The following is an 18,349-nucleotide window of genomic DNA, read 5'->3' as shown; positions in this document are numbered from 1 at the left end:
CCCTTTCCACAAATGCCACCAATCAAGCCATTTCTTTCTCAAGGGGAACTGAGTGATTTGCAGGGTTTGGGGAAGGTTGCCTGTGCCTAAAGCATCATTCCGTCCCACTCTGGTAAGATTCATAACTAGCATGATTTGGGGGCTTATCCTAGTGGGAGACTTTGAGAAGGAAATCAACGTCTTCAAGGGGAAGCAGGTGGAAACACCTTGAGATAGATATCTCCCCAGTCAGGCCAGGCTGGGCAGGGGGAGGCAGAAACAGAAAACAGAATGAGTGTTCTGGGCATCCTGCAGTGTGGGGGTCTGTAGTGCCAGCACCAAAGGGGCAACTGAGCTCAGGGCAGAGACAGGAGAACAGCATCACGTATTATTGATCACGTTACTTTGAAAATTATTTTAGAAGTTAGTGTTGTTCTTTTTATTATTATTAGCAATATGGAAGGCACTTAAGGACAAAATTTACTCAGCAACTTTTAGCAGATATTTATTAAACACCGCAACGTACCAAGCAATGAACAGAATGAACAAGAATCCCTGCCTTTATGGAGTTTGCAATCTCATGGAGATAAGTAACAGCCACCACGTGGCACTGAGAACACGCCAGCCACTGTGCTGAACACGTTTTACACATTAATTCATGAATCCTTCACATAACACTGTGAGCTAGACTTTGCTATTATCCTCGTTTGGCAAATGAGGAACCAACTGAGAGTAGAGAAGTTAAGCCTCTTGCCCCAACTCACCCAAGTGGTAGACCTGGGGCTTGAACCCAAGCCTCGTGGCTGTGCTACACCGTAACATTTTCTGATGTCACAATTGGCCAAATTTGCAAATTTGAATACCATATATACCACCTTAAAACCTACTGGGATGTGGTATAAATAGAACCCACTCCCAACAATAGAAAATCACATGAGGGAAGTGGAGAGGGAGGGTCTACACAGAGAGAACTTCAGAGTGGCAGTAACCATCTAGCTGTTCCGGTAAAATATGACCCAGGCAAGGATTGACACCTCTGAGCTCCAGTTTCCATATATTTTCTTCACGAAGAGAAAAGTCCCATTGCAGCCATTTGACAGCACCATTATGACATTCTATAGACAATAAATATGAAGATGCTTTGTAAACTGAACCAATGCAAATAATTAGTAGAATCTGAAACAGACTTACTTTTGCTTTTGTTTGTTTGAGCACACAAGTGCCGTATACATTCCACAAGCCTCACATTCACCCTGTGCTGACTCTTCACATTCATTTCCACAACTGGGGAACTAAGGTTCAGGGAGATAAACAACCTGCTCAGTGTTGGACAGTGGGAATTCTCCTATTGCCTCATTTTTATACATTTCCCAGATCGATGATGAATACATACATTTAATATATACTTCACTAAAGTAGAAAACCTACTCTTTGTTGAGCCACTCTGTATACCAAGCATAGTGAAGTATCTTTGTGTATCTCATTTAATCCTTGCAACAGCTTTCTCAGGTAATTCTACTACTTTACCATTTGATATAAAAAAGTGAAGTTTAAAGAGGATGAATGATCAGTCAGTATAAGTCATCTCAGTCAGCAAGTAGTAAAAAGAGCCATCTAATCCTTACACATCTGACTCTAGAACTCTAGTCTTCCCTACTGTATACATACCTTTCATGTGTGCTCAAAGGAAAGCAAGAGTACGTCTGTTTCAGATTCTACTAAGTCTTTGTGTTAGTTCCGTTTACAAAGCATTTTCATGTTTACTGTTTACAGAATGTCATAATGGCACTGTCAAATGGCTGCAATAGGACTTTTTCTTTGTAAACAAAATATATGGAAACCGGAGCTCAGAGGTGTAAATTCTTGCATGGGTCATATTTTGTATATTAATATAATATTTTTTGCATTAATGCCACATTGTAGGATTGGAAATAGGGCCATAGAACTAGGATTCTAATCAGATCTTTCTCTCTCCAAAGTCATCATTTGATACCACAATGGATTCAGACTTCTGAGCTGAAAGTTTTTGTTTTGTTTTCAACAGTCTAAAAATATTTTTCCCCTGTCTTCTGGTCTTCATTTTTTCTGAGATAAAATCATCAGTTTTCTGAATTGTAATTCCTTGTATGTAGCATGTTAATTTCTCTGGCTCCTTCTATGTTTTTCTCTTTGACTTTGGTTTTTGGCAGTTTAATTATGATGTGTCCATATGTTGCCTTCTTTGTATTTATCCTAATGGGTTAGCAGATGTTCCAGTTACTATTACTGCATAATAAACCATCTCTAAATTTAGTGGCTTAAACAACAGCAACCATTTTCTGATCTCTCACTGTCTTTGGCTCAGGACTCAGGATGGGCAACAGCTCATCTCTGCTTGGTAAGGTCTACAGCTTCAACTGAGGACTTTAATCCTGAGGGTAACTCAAGAGCAGGAGCAGGAAACATCAGCGGCCATCCTCACTCCTGCATGTCTGGCCATTGGTGCTGCCTGTCAGGTGGGACAGCAGTGGAGCTATCAGCAAGAACACCCTCAGGGCCTTCTCATGTGGCCACTGCAGCCTCATCATAGGATGGAGCCTGTGCTCTAAGAGGGAGCACCCCAAGCTCTACCACCTTTTATGACTCATCTCAGAAGTCACAAAGGGTTCCTTTCCTAAATTCCTAGCTCCTACAAAACTCAAGGGGAAGGAATAGAGACCACTGGGTGTCTGCCATGGTGGTCTCTAAAGGAGAATAGAGGAAGTAGTTAAGTTGAAATCCAGCAAACATTCTACATTAGGGGTGAACTGGGGCAAGGAACAAGGTGACCCCACATTCCAAGCTAGTGGTTAAATGGAGGTTATAATAATTCATCAAAGAGAGGTTAGCACAGAAAGATCTAGAATAACACCCAGTCAGCCATGACAGACTGCATTTTCCAAATGTGTCCACAATGATATCTGCCACAACACATGTTCTTTGAGAACCCTGTTACTTTCTAACTCTTGAGTACAGGCAGGTTCGAGGTCATTTTTAACCACAGGTTATGCTGGAGTGGTGCAGTGTTACTCTTGAAACCTGGTGCTACAAGGCAACATGTTTCTTCCTTGCTGGTGAGACATTTGTTCTCTGACGTCTTAGGTGCTGTGCACGGAGCTCGACTATCCTGAATCCACCATGATTCGACCTCATGTCAGTCCTTTGGCTGCCAGCCCAGTTCAACTCCAAGCTGATGACCAGTGTCGACCGCCAGTCATTCTGAACATTTGACCAGTTGAGCTTTCAAATGATGGCAGTCCTGGCTGACATTTTGGGTGAACAATATGAGAGACTGACTGGTTGAGCCCTTCCCAAATTTCTGACCCACAACATTGTGAGAAAAATAATCTTAAGCCTCTCAGTTTGGGGACAATTTGTTACTCAGCAATAGAAATGAAAATATGATCTCAGTAGGACCATGTGACTTGCAGCAACCAGGGTGACAATGAACGTCCCTGCAGATACCCGAGGAGGGGACGCATGAAGGTTCCCTAGGTGCCCTGTAAATCTACAGCTTCCTGCTTTCCTCTGCCACAAACACATGACACGCTGTACCTCTACACCTAATCTTTTGGTTTGGAAAGGAACGGAAGGTGATAGAAATCTGAAAGTTGCGACTGAGGTTTACCATCCTAAACACATTATTTCAGGAGACTAACTCCAAGATGATTGGCATGAACTAGAATTTTTCTCCCCTTTCTTATAAAGCAAATGGGACAGCTCAGGAGGAAGATCGGAGCAGTTATATACAAAAAATTAACACACAAATGAAGCAACCACGTGGCCTCTGTGTATATGGAGAAAAGTGTGAGCAAATGTGGGGCCCTAATACAGAATGTCAGCCAGGAAGACGAGGAAGGCAGACCTCCCTAGAACAGTGGTACAAGACATTGGTGGTCATCTTAACAGATGTGCACTGACTGATATCCTTCAGAATAGGAAGGAAATGTGAGATCTTAAGAAGGAATTCTAGGGGAGGTCTCAGCTTTACCCCCTGTGACTTGCACTTGGTCAGTATACAACTTATTCTTCCCACCAGAGTGATAGAAAGAAAAAAAGAAACTGAGTTCTGTATGTTGAGAAATATCATCTTGGCCTTTAAATTATTTTAAAATTATAGCAACATGAGTCTTCCTGAAACTTTATTACTGTATTTTCTAAAACATGATTCCTTCTGGTCTAGGTACTCACCATCACTCTGAAGGAGCTTCTCACCTCAAGGTGGAGCTCCCCAAATACATGTTGGATTTGTAGTTAAAAACCCACCTGCAGCAGATAGGCGTGAGGTGGGTGGCAGAAGGGGAGGGGCAGCGCCGGAGGTTGGGTGCTCAGCCTTGGGCTGGAAATGAGCAATCAATATGCTAAGTACATGTAAGCCCCATGCAAATCAGCACCTAACCTTTTTGAAGGAAATGTCTGCACCCTTTGCACAAAGGGCTGAGTAGGGACCACCGTTGGGGTTTTCCTGCACCTGTAGGCTGTAAGCTGGAGAGTAAAGGCAAGAAAGCTAATATTTTTTTAAGATTTTAAAACAACCAACAGAACGTGTTCTCCCTTTGTATCTGAGCAACCAGGAAGCTTCACACACATACGTGCACACACACATACACACCTGCTTTCTATCTAACTAGTAATTGTGAAAATAATAAGACCCCCAGTGAGGGTGGGGGGGTGGACGAGTTGGTAAGTTTCAGTCACATTTGTAAAAAAGCGGCTGTCATTTTTGCTTGCCTATGGGTTTTCAGTACGTACACAGTGCCTATTCAGCTGCCACGTTCACCAATTGGACATTGTTGGGGAAATTATAGGACTCATTTAGATTTGCGATCTGTGACAGCCGACACTGTGCAGAAAGAAGAGGAGAAGGTCAGACCCCAGGAGAGAAGAAAAACAGATATTTGGGGAATAGATGAATCAGGATAGGCTTCATCTTCTAAGGCTTTATACCAAAAACAGTTACAGGGCATAAAAGAAAGTAGCTTCCTCCCCAGATCTTTGCAGCAGGTCAGCAGACAGAATCTGCTAAAGCAAACTTGGTTTTGCTGTCACATGGTCAAGGCTGCTGGCGCGAGGAGGAGGGGAGTTCAAGCTGCAAGAGTCAAGGTGGGAGGGGAGACTTTGTGTTTTTTCCTCACTATCTTTAGTTGATTTTGGGAGATTGTGTTAAATACCATCTCTACTCACAGCATAGGCCTGAAGGATTTACCTGATACGGCTGAGTCGGACAGCCTTAGTGGGGGTCTTGTCTCATTTCAGATAGTCTTGGCTGGGGTCTTGTCTCCTTGGCTTCACATTGTAACCTGGGGCAAGTGTCATGACCTCTCTAACCTTCAGTCTCAGCTATCAAAAGGACACCATAACAATAAGCCTGTGATGGCCACCCTAGCTCACAGGCTGGTAGATAGGAAGTGCTAAAGGCATGCTGGCACCCAATACCCCTTCCACGGATTTTTCTCCCCCTTGATATTAGTTTTTGTTCCAGTCTGCTAAACAGCATAGCTTGGTTTGAAGCCCAGGCAACGAGCAACCCTCTGTCACTTAGGCCTGTCAGGGGACATGTCACTGTGTCCCAGAGCCACCTCCTGCCACGTCAGCCAAAGGGACTTCTCCAGGGTCCCAGCAGAGGTCACCTGTGCAGCCAGCTATTGACACACCTTGTAGAGCATCCACTCAGCTCTCAGGAAGGGGCTCAGACAGAGGCTCCACTTTGTACATTCTGAAGTATATCTGGCGCAGAGCCCCTGTCCTTCACCAAGGGAGGTGAGGCTGTGGAAGGCAAGCTCATTTGACATTGTGAATTAGAGACTCACTTGGCCACAAACACTCTGGATGCAGAAGCAGAGTCTCTTGGCTGCTTCAGCCCCAGGTCCATCTGCTTCTCTGTGGTGAGGTTCCCAAGTACAAGGTCAGATGCCAACATCCCAAGGGTAGAGGTGCCAGCCTCAAGCCAGCATGCACCTTCAGCCAGCTCCAGGCCCTTTTCCCACTAACTTTCTCTGTGATGACCACAGAGCTGTAAGTAGGTGTGGTGTTCCTTGGCACCTAATGGTACGTTTGGACTTCTGGGAGATCAAAAACTTGGAAAAGAGAAAGATCTATGGCTGGTTTTAACAGCAATTAAATGGGGATTCAGGTGCCAGTAAGTGTAAGATACTGAACCTAATTCCAAGAAACCATCTTTACTTTGCCAGCACACACAAACACATGAGTGAACTGGTGCCTGAGCAATATTTTCTTTTCATAAGAAGAGCCCTCTGAAATCCTGGAATTCCATCCCTATAAGGAACCTCTAGACCTGAGAATGGTTCAATCTCTAGCTTGGAAAAAAAAAACATAATTCATGACCCTGGATAGTCACAGAGCTTCCTGCTATGACAGAATTTGACAATTTCCATCTGGCCAGACACTGACAAAAGAATAAGGGAGAGACTCTAACTGAAACAAGTCTCCCCTCTCATCTCCCAGCAGGTACTAGCGTGGCAGGCTCATGACTCATGTTTTTAAAGAACTAAATAGGAACACATTTTAAGAGGGTAAGAAGAAAAAGCCAAGGTGAGCTCCTGGAGGGGACTGGGCTCTGGAAACCTTCAGTCCTCCCTGAATTCACCTGGTTCCTAGAAAACATGCATAGCTCCCAAAAGTTTCCAGAGGGAGGTTTGTGGAATATGTTCATTATGAATTTGTTAATTGCATCAGAGATCAATGTGAATACAGCATCGCAGCCTCCACTCAGCAATGTCCTCTGGCCTTTGCTGTTTTCTCAGTTCAGCATGTGATGTGGGGCGGGATAGTCCACCCCTCCTTACTGAGTCACCTCTAGTCTTTTGCTAACACTACCCGAGCTACTACGCTAGGAAGAAATGCTCTGGGAACAAGGGCAGAAAGTTTCTGTGGGAGGCAATGCTTCCACCAGAAGGTCAACATGCACTAGTGGGAGAAATTCATGTGACTAAGTGATTCAATCGATGAGGACATTTTGTTCTTTTGGAATAACTCAGTGGTCGTTGTGCCCCGGATCACTCAGTGTGCTTCTCCTTCCTTCTGGTTAACTTACCTAGCTCCACTGCATTTAGAAGAGGCTCTTTGCACTTGTCTATAGTCTGGTAAACAAAGAAGGACCAAGGTATCTCAGCTGACAGATGCTGGTTTGAACTGTGTTCCCTTTGCTAGCAAAGGAGAAATCCTCTTTCATCAAGGAAATTGTATTAGTTCATTTTCATACTGCTATGAAGAAATACCTGAGACTAGGTAATTTATAAAGGAAAGAGGCTTAATGGACTCAATTCCACATGGCTGGGGAGGCCTCACAATCATGGCAGAAGCTGAAGGAGGAGTAAAGTCACGTGTTACATGGCGGCAGACAAGAGAGCACGTGCGGGGGAACTGCTCTTTAGAACCATCAGATCTTGTGAGACTTATTCACTATCATGAGAACAGCATGGGAAAAACCCGACCCCGTGATTCAGTTACCTCCCACGATACATGGGAATTATGAGAGCTAAAATTCAGGATGAGATTTGGGTGGGGACGCAGCCAAACCATACAGAAATTATCAAAAGAGTAGAAGGCTGAAGCCAGGATCACTGAGATTCTAGGTCACAAACCTCCCTACAAACCTTGAGCACCATGACTTGCTTGTAAGTCCTACCCCTTGGGAAGCTTCGTCCCATCAGTGGGTCTTTTATTTTTCCCCATGGCCAATTGCATATAAATCAAATTCCATGGACCAGGCACGAAGGAGAAGTCTTTCTTTAGAGAATTTTCTGGACTTAGGGGTTTTGACCTTATCTCCTATACTTTTTATTCCATAAAGTTCATCAAGTTAGTCAAGACATACTGGGGCCGTATGGAAATTAGTCTGTAACTGGCACAAGTTATGAGAAAGCATTTTATAAACCTGTGAATGACTTTAGAATGTCTTCCCTTAGAAGGGTGACCAAGGGGCTATAGAAACACATGTCTAAGCTTTGTGTTAGCTTTTATTAGGAATAAGACTGTTGGGAGTTCAGTGACTAGGAGTTCATATAAAATGAAGTTTCTACCACTGTCAACAAGCAGGACTTCTTTTATGTTTTATTTCCAAGGAGAGAAAATGCATTCTGAGTAGTCATCTGTTATTGGAAAACAAGGTTTTATAGCTGGTGTCCTTGAAATAGTATTCCTCATCTCCCTGCCTCACACCATATTAAAAAAAATAACTAAATCCAGGGTGGCTAAGAGAGCTAAGTAGGAGAGGGGGCACTCTCTATATACATGTAGAAATAAAATACAAAGAAATATTAAAAACAAACAGTAATGTTGAAGATGGAAGGCCTTACTAATCAAAACATAAAGCCTAGAAACCATAATGGAAGTAAATATTTCATCTTTCATTCAGTTGAACAACCTTTCAAAATTTCTGTGTACCATGAATACAGTCTAATGGGAAGCAAAAGACATAGAAATAATAATATATATATATAAACATATAATATATATGTTATATATATATTACATATTATTTCTATGTCTTTTGCTTGCAAGTAAACATAAATAGATATTTATTCTGTAAACTCATCAAGTTAGTCAAGACATACTGGGGCCATACAGAAATCCTTCTGTAACTGGCACAAGTCATTAAACACAAATAAATATCTATTTTCCTGTTTACATATATATATATACACACACAGGAAAATAATTGGTGCCTGAGTTATATGCCCTCCTCTTATAACTCAGTAAGAAAAATCCACTCAATGTAATAGGAAGAAAGGTCAAGAAATGATCCTTCTTAAAACAAATCCAACTTGGATTAATGCCTAAGCTTAAATCTAGCCAATTTAATGAGGCCTCATCTGCACCCTCCTACACCCAACTAAACCAACAGAAGGAGTCAGTAAGAAGTCACCCACAAGAGAAATGACCTGGTGACAAGTAAGGTCTAATGGCTTTAGCTAGAAAAACTTACCTATCATGAGAAACGTCTTAGGAAACATACATATCAGCTTCACTGATCTTCAAGGCATCCAAAATATGTGTTGTGTTTCTTATATACCTCAAGGAATGAACATATTTACTTTCACCCTGATATGAGTCACCTGGATCTAAAGACATTGTTGAATAATATCCTGATTTCTCTGATTCTGACTGTCAATGAAAATGAAAAAGTAAAGAACTGCTTCTCATGCCTGGCTCATACGCCTCTGGAAACACAAAGGGAAGCTCAGCACAGTGTGACCAAGTGATGGGATGTTCTCATTCTGTGAACTGTGGGTAAGGCAAAGTACTGCTTCAATACAGGAGGCATTCATTGCCATGGGCTCTGCTACTTATTTGCTTCTCTCTGAGGCATTATCTATTTTGTATGATGGAACTGTCATCAACAGATTCAATGCAACCTATTTTGTGGTCTTCCATATCTATTTTTCAGGAAAACAAAACCATTCAGGATAGAATTTTGATGTTTGGGCACTATTTTACACCTGGCTCATTCCCCCTCCTAACCACACCCCCCACCACCATTTCCATCTTTCAGGTTCCTGAATGGTGAATCCAAAGCCCATACAACACCCAAATCCAGCTGGAAAGTGGAAAATTAACTCTGTTTTCAACATGTGAATGGTCTTTGTGTGCCATGTGTTTAAGGCTTACAGCTATAAACCTCGGGAAAGAAATAAGTTGGATGCGATAATGTCTGTAGTGTATTCCAACTCTAAAATGTTAGAATCCAACAATAGAAATTGGCTAAATAAATTATGTTACATCCATAAGATGGAATATTATCTAGGCATTTAATGTGATGTGGGAGAATACAAAATGACAATGGGAAAATGTTCATGATATAGGAAGGGGGAAAACAGATTATAAAGCATTATGTACTGTAAAATAACAGTTTTGTTAGAAATGAAAATAAATACTGTGTGCACACACCCATATGCACATGACAGACTGGAAGGATCAAAATTTTAAAAAATAACTGTAGTTAATTTTAAGGAATACAGGTACATTTCATTTTTCTCTTACTGCTTTTGTGTGTCTGAAACCTTTAGTAGGGAACACATAGTGCTTTTGTAAACAGAGAAACATACAGTTCAGTGATATTAAGTATATTCACATGTGCAACCATTACCATTATCACTCTCTAGTTCTAGAATGTTTTATTGTCCTAAGAGGAAATCTGTACCTATGAAGTTATCACTTACCATCACTCTCTATCCCTAGTTTCTAGTAACCACTCATCTACTTTGTGTCTATTGATTTGCCTATTCTGGACATTTCATGCAAATGAAACCATGCAATATGTGATCTCCATGTTTGGCATCTTTCATATAGTGTAAAGGATTGAAGGTTCATCAATGTTTTAGCATGTATAAGTAATTCATTCCTTTTTATGGCTGAATACCATTCCATTTTGGGGATATACCACATTTTACTTATTCATCAATTGGGCATTTGGGGTTTCTACCTTTAGCTATGGTGAATTGCACAACTATATATATTTATGTACAAATTTTTGTTCAAACACCTGTTTTCAATTCTTTTAGATTTATACCTGGGAGTGATTTTGCTGGTTCATATGGTAATTCTGTGTTTAACTTACTGAGAAACTGCTAGATTGTGTTACACAGTGGCTGCATTGCTTTACTTTTCCACCAGTAAGGTGGAAGAGTTCCAGTTGCTTCTCATTCTCACCAACACTTGCTATGCTTTGCTTACTATTATTATTGTTGCCATCTTAGTGGGTACAGAGTGGTATTATCTTATTGTAATTTTGATTTGAATTTCCCAAATGATATTGATGGTGAACATTTGTTCATATGCCTGTTGACCATTTGTACGTCTTTGTAGTAATGTCTATTCAGCGCTTTTGCCCATTTTTAATCAGGTTAGTCTTTGTTGTTGAGTTATAATAATTCTTTGTATTCTGGGTGTTAGACACTTATCAGATATGTGATTTGAGAATGTTTTCTCATTCTGTGGATTATCTTTTTACTCTTGATAGTATCCTTTGATACAGAAAAGATTTTAAAACTGATGAAGTCTAAATTATCTATTTTATGTTTTTGTTGTTTATACTTTTGATGTCACATCTGAGAAACCATTGCCAAATCTAAGGTCATAAAAAATGACCCCATTTTTTTTTTCTAAGAGCTTAACAATTTGTCTTAACAACATTAAGTTTTTCAACCCATGGACACAGGATATCTTTTGATTTATTTAGATCTTTGCTTTCATTCAGCAGTGTTTTAGCACTTAATTTCTGTTTCTGATACAATTTAACTTAGTTTTTGTATGTGACATGAGACAGGTCAAATTTCATTCTTTTGCATGCGATATCCAGCTGTCTCTGCACCATTTGTTGAAAAGATTATTCCATCCCATTGAATTATGTTGAAACCCTTGTTGCAAATCAATTGACCATATATTATGCTTTTTTCCCCTCTATTCTCAATTCTATTCCCTTGATCTCTGGCTATATGTATGCCAGTGTTATACATCCTGATTAGGGTAGGATTGTAGTCAGTTTCAAGTCAGGAAGTGTGAGTCCTCCAACTTTGTTCTTCCATTTCAAGACAGATTTGGCTATTCTGAGTCCCTTGAATTTTTTTTTTTTTAATAAGAATTGTAGGTTCAGTTTTTCTATCTTTATAGAAAGCCATCAGGATTTTGATAGGGATTACAATTAATCTATAGATTGATTTGGAGAGTATTGTCATTTGTATTAGTCCATTTTGGGCTTGCTATAAAGAAATACCTGAGGCCAGCTAATTTATACAGAAAAAGAGGTTTATTTTGGGTCATGGTTCTGCAGACTCTACAGGAAGCATGGTGCTGTCATCTGCTGTCATCTGCTGTTGGCGAGAGCCTCAGGAAGCTTCCAATCATGGTGGAAGGCAAAGGGAGAGCTGTTGTATCACACGGTGAGAGGGAGCAGGAGAGATGCCAGGCTCTTTTAGAGGACCAACTCTCGTGAACTAACAGAATGAGAGCTCATTACCTTGGGAAGGGCACTTCATGAGGAATTCACCCCTGTGACACAAACACCTCCTACCAGGTCCCAACTCCAACTTTGGGAATTACATTTAAACATGAGATTTGGAGGGGACAAACATCCAAACCATGTCACTGTCTTAATATTCCCACCATGAACATGGAATGTCTATTTATTTAGATTTTCTTTAATTTCTTTCCACAATATCTTACAGTTTTCAATGTAATATCTTACACCTCCTTGGTTAAATTGATTCTAAAGCATTTCATTCTATTGAAATTCCACTATTATAAGTGGAATTATTTTTCTTAATTTCCTTTCAGATGATTCATTGCTATTCATTTATTTTTGTGTTGATCTTAATAAAGTCATTAAGTAGTTCTAATAGCTTGTGTGTCTGGGTTCCTTAGGGTTTTTACATAAAATTATATCATCTGTAATTTGAGATAGTTTTATTTTTCCTCTCCAATTTGGGTGTCTTTTAATTTCTTTTTCTTGCCTATCTTCTCTGGACAGAATTCCAGAACAATGCTGGAAAGATGGTGAAAGTGGGCACCCTTGTTTTGTCCATAATCTTAGGGGAAAGCTGTCAGTCTTTCACCATTGAGTATGAATGAGCTTTGATTTTTCATGAATGGCCTTTATCAAGTTGAGAGAGTTCCTTTCTAGTTCAAGTTTGTGTTTGTTTTTATTTTTCCTTGACAGGGTGTTGAATTTCATCAAATATTTTTCTTGTTTTTGCATCTATTGAGATGATCTTTTTTTTCTCCCTCCTTCTCCTACTAATGTGGTATCTTACACATTGATTGAGTTGGATATGTTGAACCACCCCTTGTGTTTCTGAAATGATTCCCACTTGGTTCTGTGCATAGCCCTTTCAATATGCTGCTAACTTGGGTTTGTTGGTATTTTGTGTCTATATTCATGGAGCAAACTGGTCTGTTTTTTTCTTGTGATGTCTTCCCCTGACTTTTGTATCAAGGTAGTTCTGGCCTCATAGAATAAGCTAAGAATGCTCTCATATCTATTTTTTGGAAGAGTTTTAGAAGAATTGGTATTGATTGTTCTTTGAATGTTTTGTAGAATTCACTAGTAGGACCATCTGGTCCTGGGCTTTTCTTTGGAGGTTTTTGTTTAATAATTCAAATAGTTAAACTTTTAAAAGGACTGTATCATAAGAGAAACTGAAGATTTTACTTCAAATGTTCAATTCCATCACTTCTAACTTCGGCCATGACACTAAGCTCAAATTATTTTTCCCTTTGGATGGACAACCTCGTCCTTCAACCAAGCAAGCTTCCTTATCAATCATGAATATTGCCTTTTCCAGCTAGTTCATCAAATTTTGGAAATATAAGTTTTCTTTGGCTTTTTATTTTGCACTCAATTCTTCTTCATTCTATGGACCTATTTTAGAGTAAATAACTCACTAAGCAAGAAAAAAGACAAACAAAATATGAATCACATATAATGTCATGGATTGAAGATAAATGAATAAAAATGTGATTCCAACTTTGACAAGTTAGGAGCGAAAAGAAGGCCAAAGTCAAACTCTAAACATTACTCCACTCTGTCAGTATAGGATATAACTGTTTATTCTGCTGAGTACCACAGACACCGTGCTGAAATACCTGTGCTATTTATAATCCAGCGCAAAGCTGATATGTCCTTGGCATCTTGAACCAATCACCACCACTCATCAGATCTTTACACACAGGAGAAAACTCATATTCCTTAACTACTAAAACACCTCTCAGCAATGCTGCTGCTGTTTGTAATTGAAATTGTTTGGTTATGGTGGTTCTTACCAGTCCCTCTCATGCAGTTTCTGATTTTATAATTTTATAATTTTCTTAGTAGCCGAATACTAGGGCATGTTTTCAGCTAAAATATAACTATTTTGAAAATGTATTTTATACCTTTGGCTGCAATAAAATTTGTGAGAAATCCAATTCCAATACAGAAGGCCAATTTTCTACCAAAAAAACCCAAAACAAAACAAAACAAAAAACCATTCACCTCGCTACCCAGCCAATTATTCAAAAAAAAGATGTTTTCCATCAAAGCAAAATGAAACTAAAGACACGATCCTCAAATAGACAGGAGAGATAATACATTTGGAAGCATAGAGATTAAAATGGTGGGCTCCCCATGGCCCACTTCCTAGCTGTAGAATGATGGCCAGTCCCTTGAATTTTCTCAGACTCAGTTGATTTCTGTGTAAAATAGGTATCACAATAGAACCAGCCATATTAGATTGTGGAGAGGATTAAATGAGAAAAGCCAGGTAAGTCAGTTCGCTCTGTATGTGGCATGTGGTAAACAGTCAATACATAACTGGTAGAAATAATATCAGCAATAGCAGCAGTAAGAACCTCAGTGCTTAGTATTTTTCTACATAGCAAACCTTCTGCAAAGGTAATCCAGTTGTGTCCACTGTCTGGCTTTAGTGCTGTGTTCCTCTGCCTGTGTGTGCAACAATCATTCATTTATTCACCCATTCAACAAATATCTAATAAATGACTACTGCTGGGCACTGTCCCCGGTCATAATGATGGAATAATGCCGGGATATATGAGCTAATTGTTTCTAGCAGAGATTAGCAAACTCATTCTGTCAGTGGCCAGATAATAATAATTGAGATTTGTGGGTCATATGCCTCCTTGTCACAACTATTCTGCTACTGCAGTGTAAAGGCAGCCGTAGACAATATAAACATAAATGGGCATGGCGAATATGACTTTACAAAAATAGATTTGGCTGAAGTCCATAATTTATGGACTTCTATATGTAGCCTAATAAAAAAATCAAATAGGGATAATAAAGTATGAAAAATACTCTGATGGGCTCCATGAGGGTCAAGGAAGGCTTCCCAGGCGAAGTGATATTTAATCTGATTCTTAGTAGATAAACAGGAGATAGCCAGGCAAGAAAGAGAAGAACAGGATCCTAAGCAAAGGGGATAGTATGTAGAAGGCCAGGAGATGGAGGAGGAAACAAGAGACAGAGAAACAGAGGGAGACAGAGACAGAAAGAGACAGAGAAGAGCACGGTGTTTTTGAGGAGCTAAACAAATCGACTAAGACTTGAGTGCTGGGGGAACCAAGTCAGGGCATCATGAGATGAGGTTAGTAGCAAGTAGGAGTCAGGCTGTGAAGGGCCTGGGACATAAGGATTAAAATGTTTAGGCTCAATCCTAGAGACAATGGGAAGTCCTTGAATGTTTGCAATGGAGAAGGGAAGGATGAGTTTTGCATTTCTGACTGCCACATGGAGAATGGGTTAGAGAACAGTGAGTGTGTAGGAACAGAACGTTGAGAGAAGGCTGCTTCAACCGTCCAGGAAGGAAGGAGTGGTGGTAGCTGAGCTACAATGTGGGAAGAGGGCAGTTTACAAGTGGATGTGGTCAAGAGATATTTGAGAGGTGAAAGTTAACAGATAAATTGGGATGGGGTGAAATAGAGGAGAGTTTCTGCCTTGGGCAACTACCTGTGTTAAGTCTCTCTGAAGCTTGCCTGACCTTCAAGGTCTTTGGTTCTACTTTATCCCGAGACCCCTCTCTGATCTCTTCTTCCCAGAGAGATGAACACTCATCTGGATGACTTTGCTCCTACCCCTCACCCCTGGAGCAAGCCTCTGACCAGAGTTGCAAGTGCTCGGCACCTCTCCAGGTGTGGCTGCCATTGGGGTCAGTCATCTGCATTATTAGCCCTCAGTAAATGCTTGGCTGTCATATCTTAACTTGTAATGGAGAATGAGCTTAAATGAAAAAGAGAGATTAATTAGGCCAGGTGTGGTGGCTCACGCCTGTAATCCCAGCACTTTGGGAGGCTGCGGTGGGAGGTTCACCTGAGGTCAGGAATTCCAGACCAGCCTGGCTAACACGGTGAAACCTCATATCTACTTAAAAAAAAAATACAAAATTAGCTGGGCATGGTGGTGCATGCCTGTAATCCCAGCTGTAATTGGGAGGCTGAGGCAGGAGAACTGCTTGAACCTGGTAGGTAGAGGTTGCAGTGAGCTGAGATCACGCCATTGCAGTCCAGCCTGGGCAACAAGCGCAAAACTCCGTCTCAAAAAACAAAACAAAACAAAACAAAAAAATTAAAGGCTAAATATTCAAGAAAGTAGACTTCATTTTCAACCAAAGTGTAATTTTTGACAGTGAGATAATTGTATGCCATAATCTTTTGGTTTCTGCAGGACCACAGACTTAAAAAAAAAATCTCTTTGTACTCATTAAGGAAAAGAAAATAGATTTGCAAGATTAGCATCTTCTACTTTCAGATGCATCATGTTCATGTTCATTATTGGCCAACACAACAGTTCATTCCCAAGAAAGATTAAATGATTTACTTTACTTGATATTTTGAGCTAAAAAAAAAAAAAAAAAAAAAAAAAACCTCTGAGTATCAAGTCCGAGGAGACATGCATAGCCCTGTCAGTTGGAAACAGGGTTAGCTTTGCCCCCAGTATACAGGAGGCCCCATAAGTCATCTTACACTGAGGTGAGCTCACGTGGCAGTTGTCATTTGTCCTTTCCATAGTCCCAGAGCCTAAGAAAGTGAGTGTAGGAACAAGAAGAAGACAAGAAAATTTGTAAGTCACAACAATCATACTTGGTTTGAAAATAAGCTGGTGGTGGTGATGAAACCTTGCTGGTAAGTAAACCTCAGGAAGACAATACAAACCTATGTGCAAGCCGTAAAAGCAGGAAAGAGGACAAATTCTAGCACAGGGAACTGGCTTTTCTCCTGAGGCCCTCCAAACCATCCAGATGTGATCACTTTCCCAATATATATGTAAGCCTATTCTCTTTATTCTATTTCCCTGAATTTTAAACCTAATTTAATTTCTAGCTCTTTGTAGCTTATTAACTCATACATTCTCATAAACAAAATGATGGAAGGAAAATCACACCAGAAAAGATTTCAGTGACTACACTTTTACATATAAAGAGCTATAAGCGCATCAAACCTAACCTAACATCTCATTCTTTTACTGGCATCCATGCTGAATTTGGAGAGCAAAAAGTCAAGTAAGAAATTTTGTTTTCATGGTAACCCATTTCTGATGCATGACATTAATACAAGTCTAAATAAACACAGCATCAACAGGAAATAAATCCAAATATGAAGTCTGAAAGGGCAGTCATATATCTTGAATATTCTGAATGTCAACTTTTTGATGGAAAAAATAATACAATAGCAGTGACTGTATACACAGGTCCACTCTGGGTGTCTTTGGTGTGTGTTCCAAAGTTTAATTTGTTGAATCCTTGTGTTTTCTGCTCCACGGTGTCTAGTAGCATTTATTATGTTCTCCTAAAACTGCAGCTGATGAAGGCATTGGAAAGGTCACTGTTTCCTGGTTGTTTTTGAAAAGAGGATAACTTAACGTATGTTCTCCAATAAAAGATGATCTTTCATGTGCATTTGTTTCTGAAATTGAAATGTGTCTTGCTCATGTTCTCTGGGAGCCATTGTTCATCTTCCGAGTATTTCTGAGAGCTTCGTGCAGCAGCAAGCTCCCCTGCATATCTGAAACGAAGGCAAGCTTTGTTCCCACTTTTGTCTGCTGACACGAAAATAGCACTGAGGCTCCAAGTGGCCCCGGTCCTCATGAGACTCCCTTCTGAACACAACTGCACTAAAGTCCCCTGCCGCGAAGACAGACAGAGGTCATGTAAATTAGTGCCTCACAATCCTTGGTTAAGAAATGAAAGAAATCATTTATGTTCTTTTAAAGTTTTGTGAGCTTATATGATTATTTGGCCTACTCTGAAAAAGAGAACTCCACCATTGAGCTTTACTGCAATCAGGAAATGTTGCTATTTATTTTGTATTTTAGAAGTCTGGTGAGATGATATTTTTACATGCTGGTCATTTCAGTTTTAATTGTGAGATTTTTTTCTTCTTTAACATGGGGGACGATGACCATCTGTCCTCTGGTTTCACTGAAAATGGAGCAGGAAAAAAAAAGAGCATAGTTTTTACAGGCTGCCTTTCTTCTTAGGAGGAAAAGTTCTCTAAAATATCGCATTCCGCTGCTAGGTGGGCAGCAGGACAAGGCCGCTGTGGTAAAGGCAGTGCTGATAGAGACAGGATAGTTGCCTGGCAGGCTTTGCTGTTACCAGGTAGACCAGCTGTCCCACACCAGGACATTGGTGAAGACAAAAATACCAGAGGAGGTTTGGGGTCTGATCTGGGTGCAGGACGTGGGCAAGGACAGGATCAGGAAATGAAGACGAGAACAAAGGTGTGGCCTGAGACTTAGGGCTCAGTCACAGACAGGACACAACATAGGGTGGAGAGCCTGTCCCTCCAGGAGTGGAAGTAGGTGGGAGGTCTGAGGCGGGCCGGGTGGAGACATTGAAAGGAC

General features: G+C 40.4%; 1 long non-coding RNA gene across 1 annotated transcript; it reads left to right on the top strand.

Annotated features, from left to right (window-relative positions):
* Positions 1 to 53: 53 nt before the first annotated feature.
* On the top strand, positions 54 to 3,421 carry LOC101928048 (uncharacterized). The gene is made up of 2 exons (NR_109903.1): positions 54 to 112; positions 3,100 to 3,421. It is a non-coding gene; the product is annotated as an uncharacterized LOC101928048 (long non-coding RNA).
* The last annotated feature ends 14,928 nt before the right edge of the window (positions 3,422 to 18,349 follow it).

This window comes from Homo sapiens, chromosome 20, assembly GCF_000001405.40.
Source record: "Homo sapiens chromosome 20, GRCh38.p14 Primary Assembly".
In the NCBI taxonomy this organism is placed as follows: Eukaryota; Metazoa; Chordata; class Mammalia; order Primates; family Hominidae; genus Homo; species Homo sapiens.
Note: the sequence above shows the minus strand (reverse complement) of the source record. Positions and strands in the feature narration are given on the sequence as shown.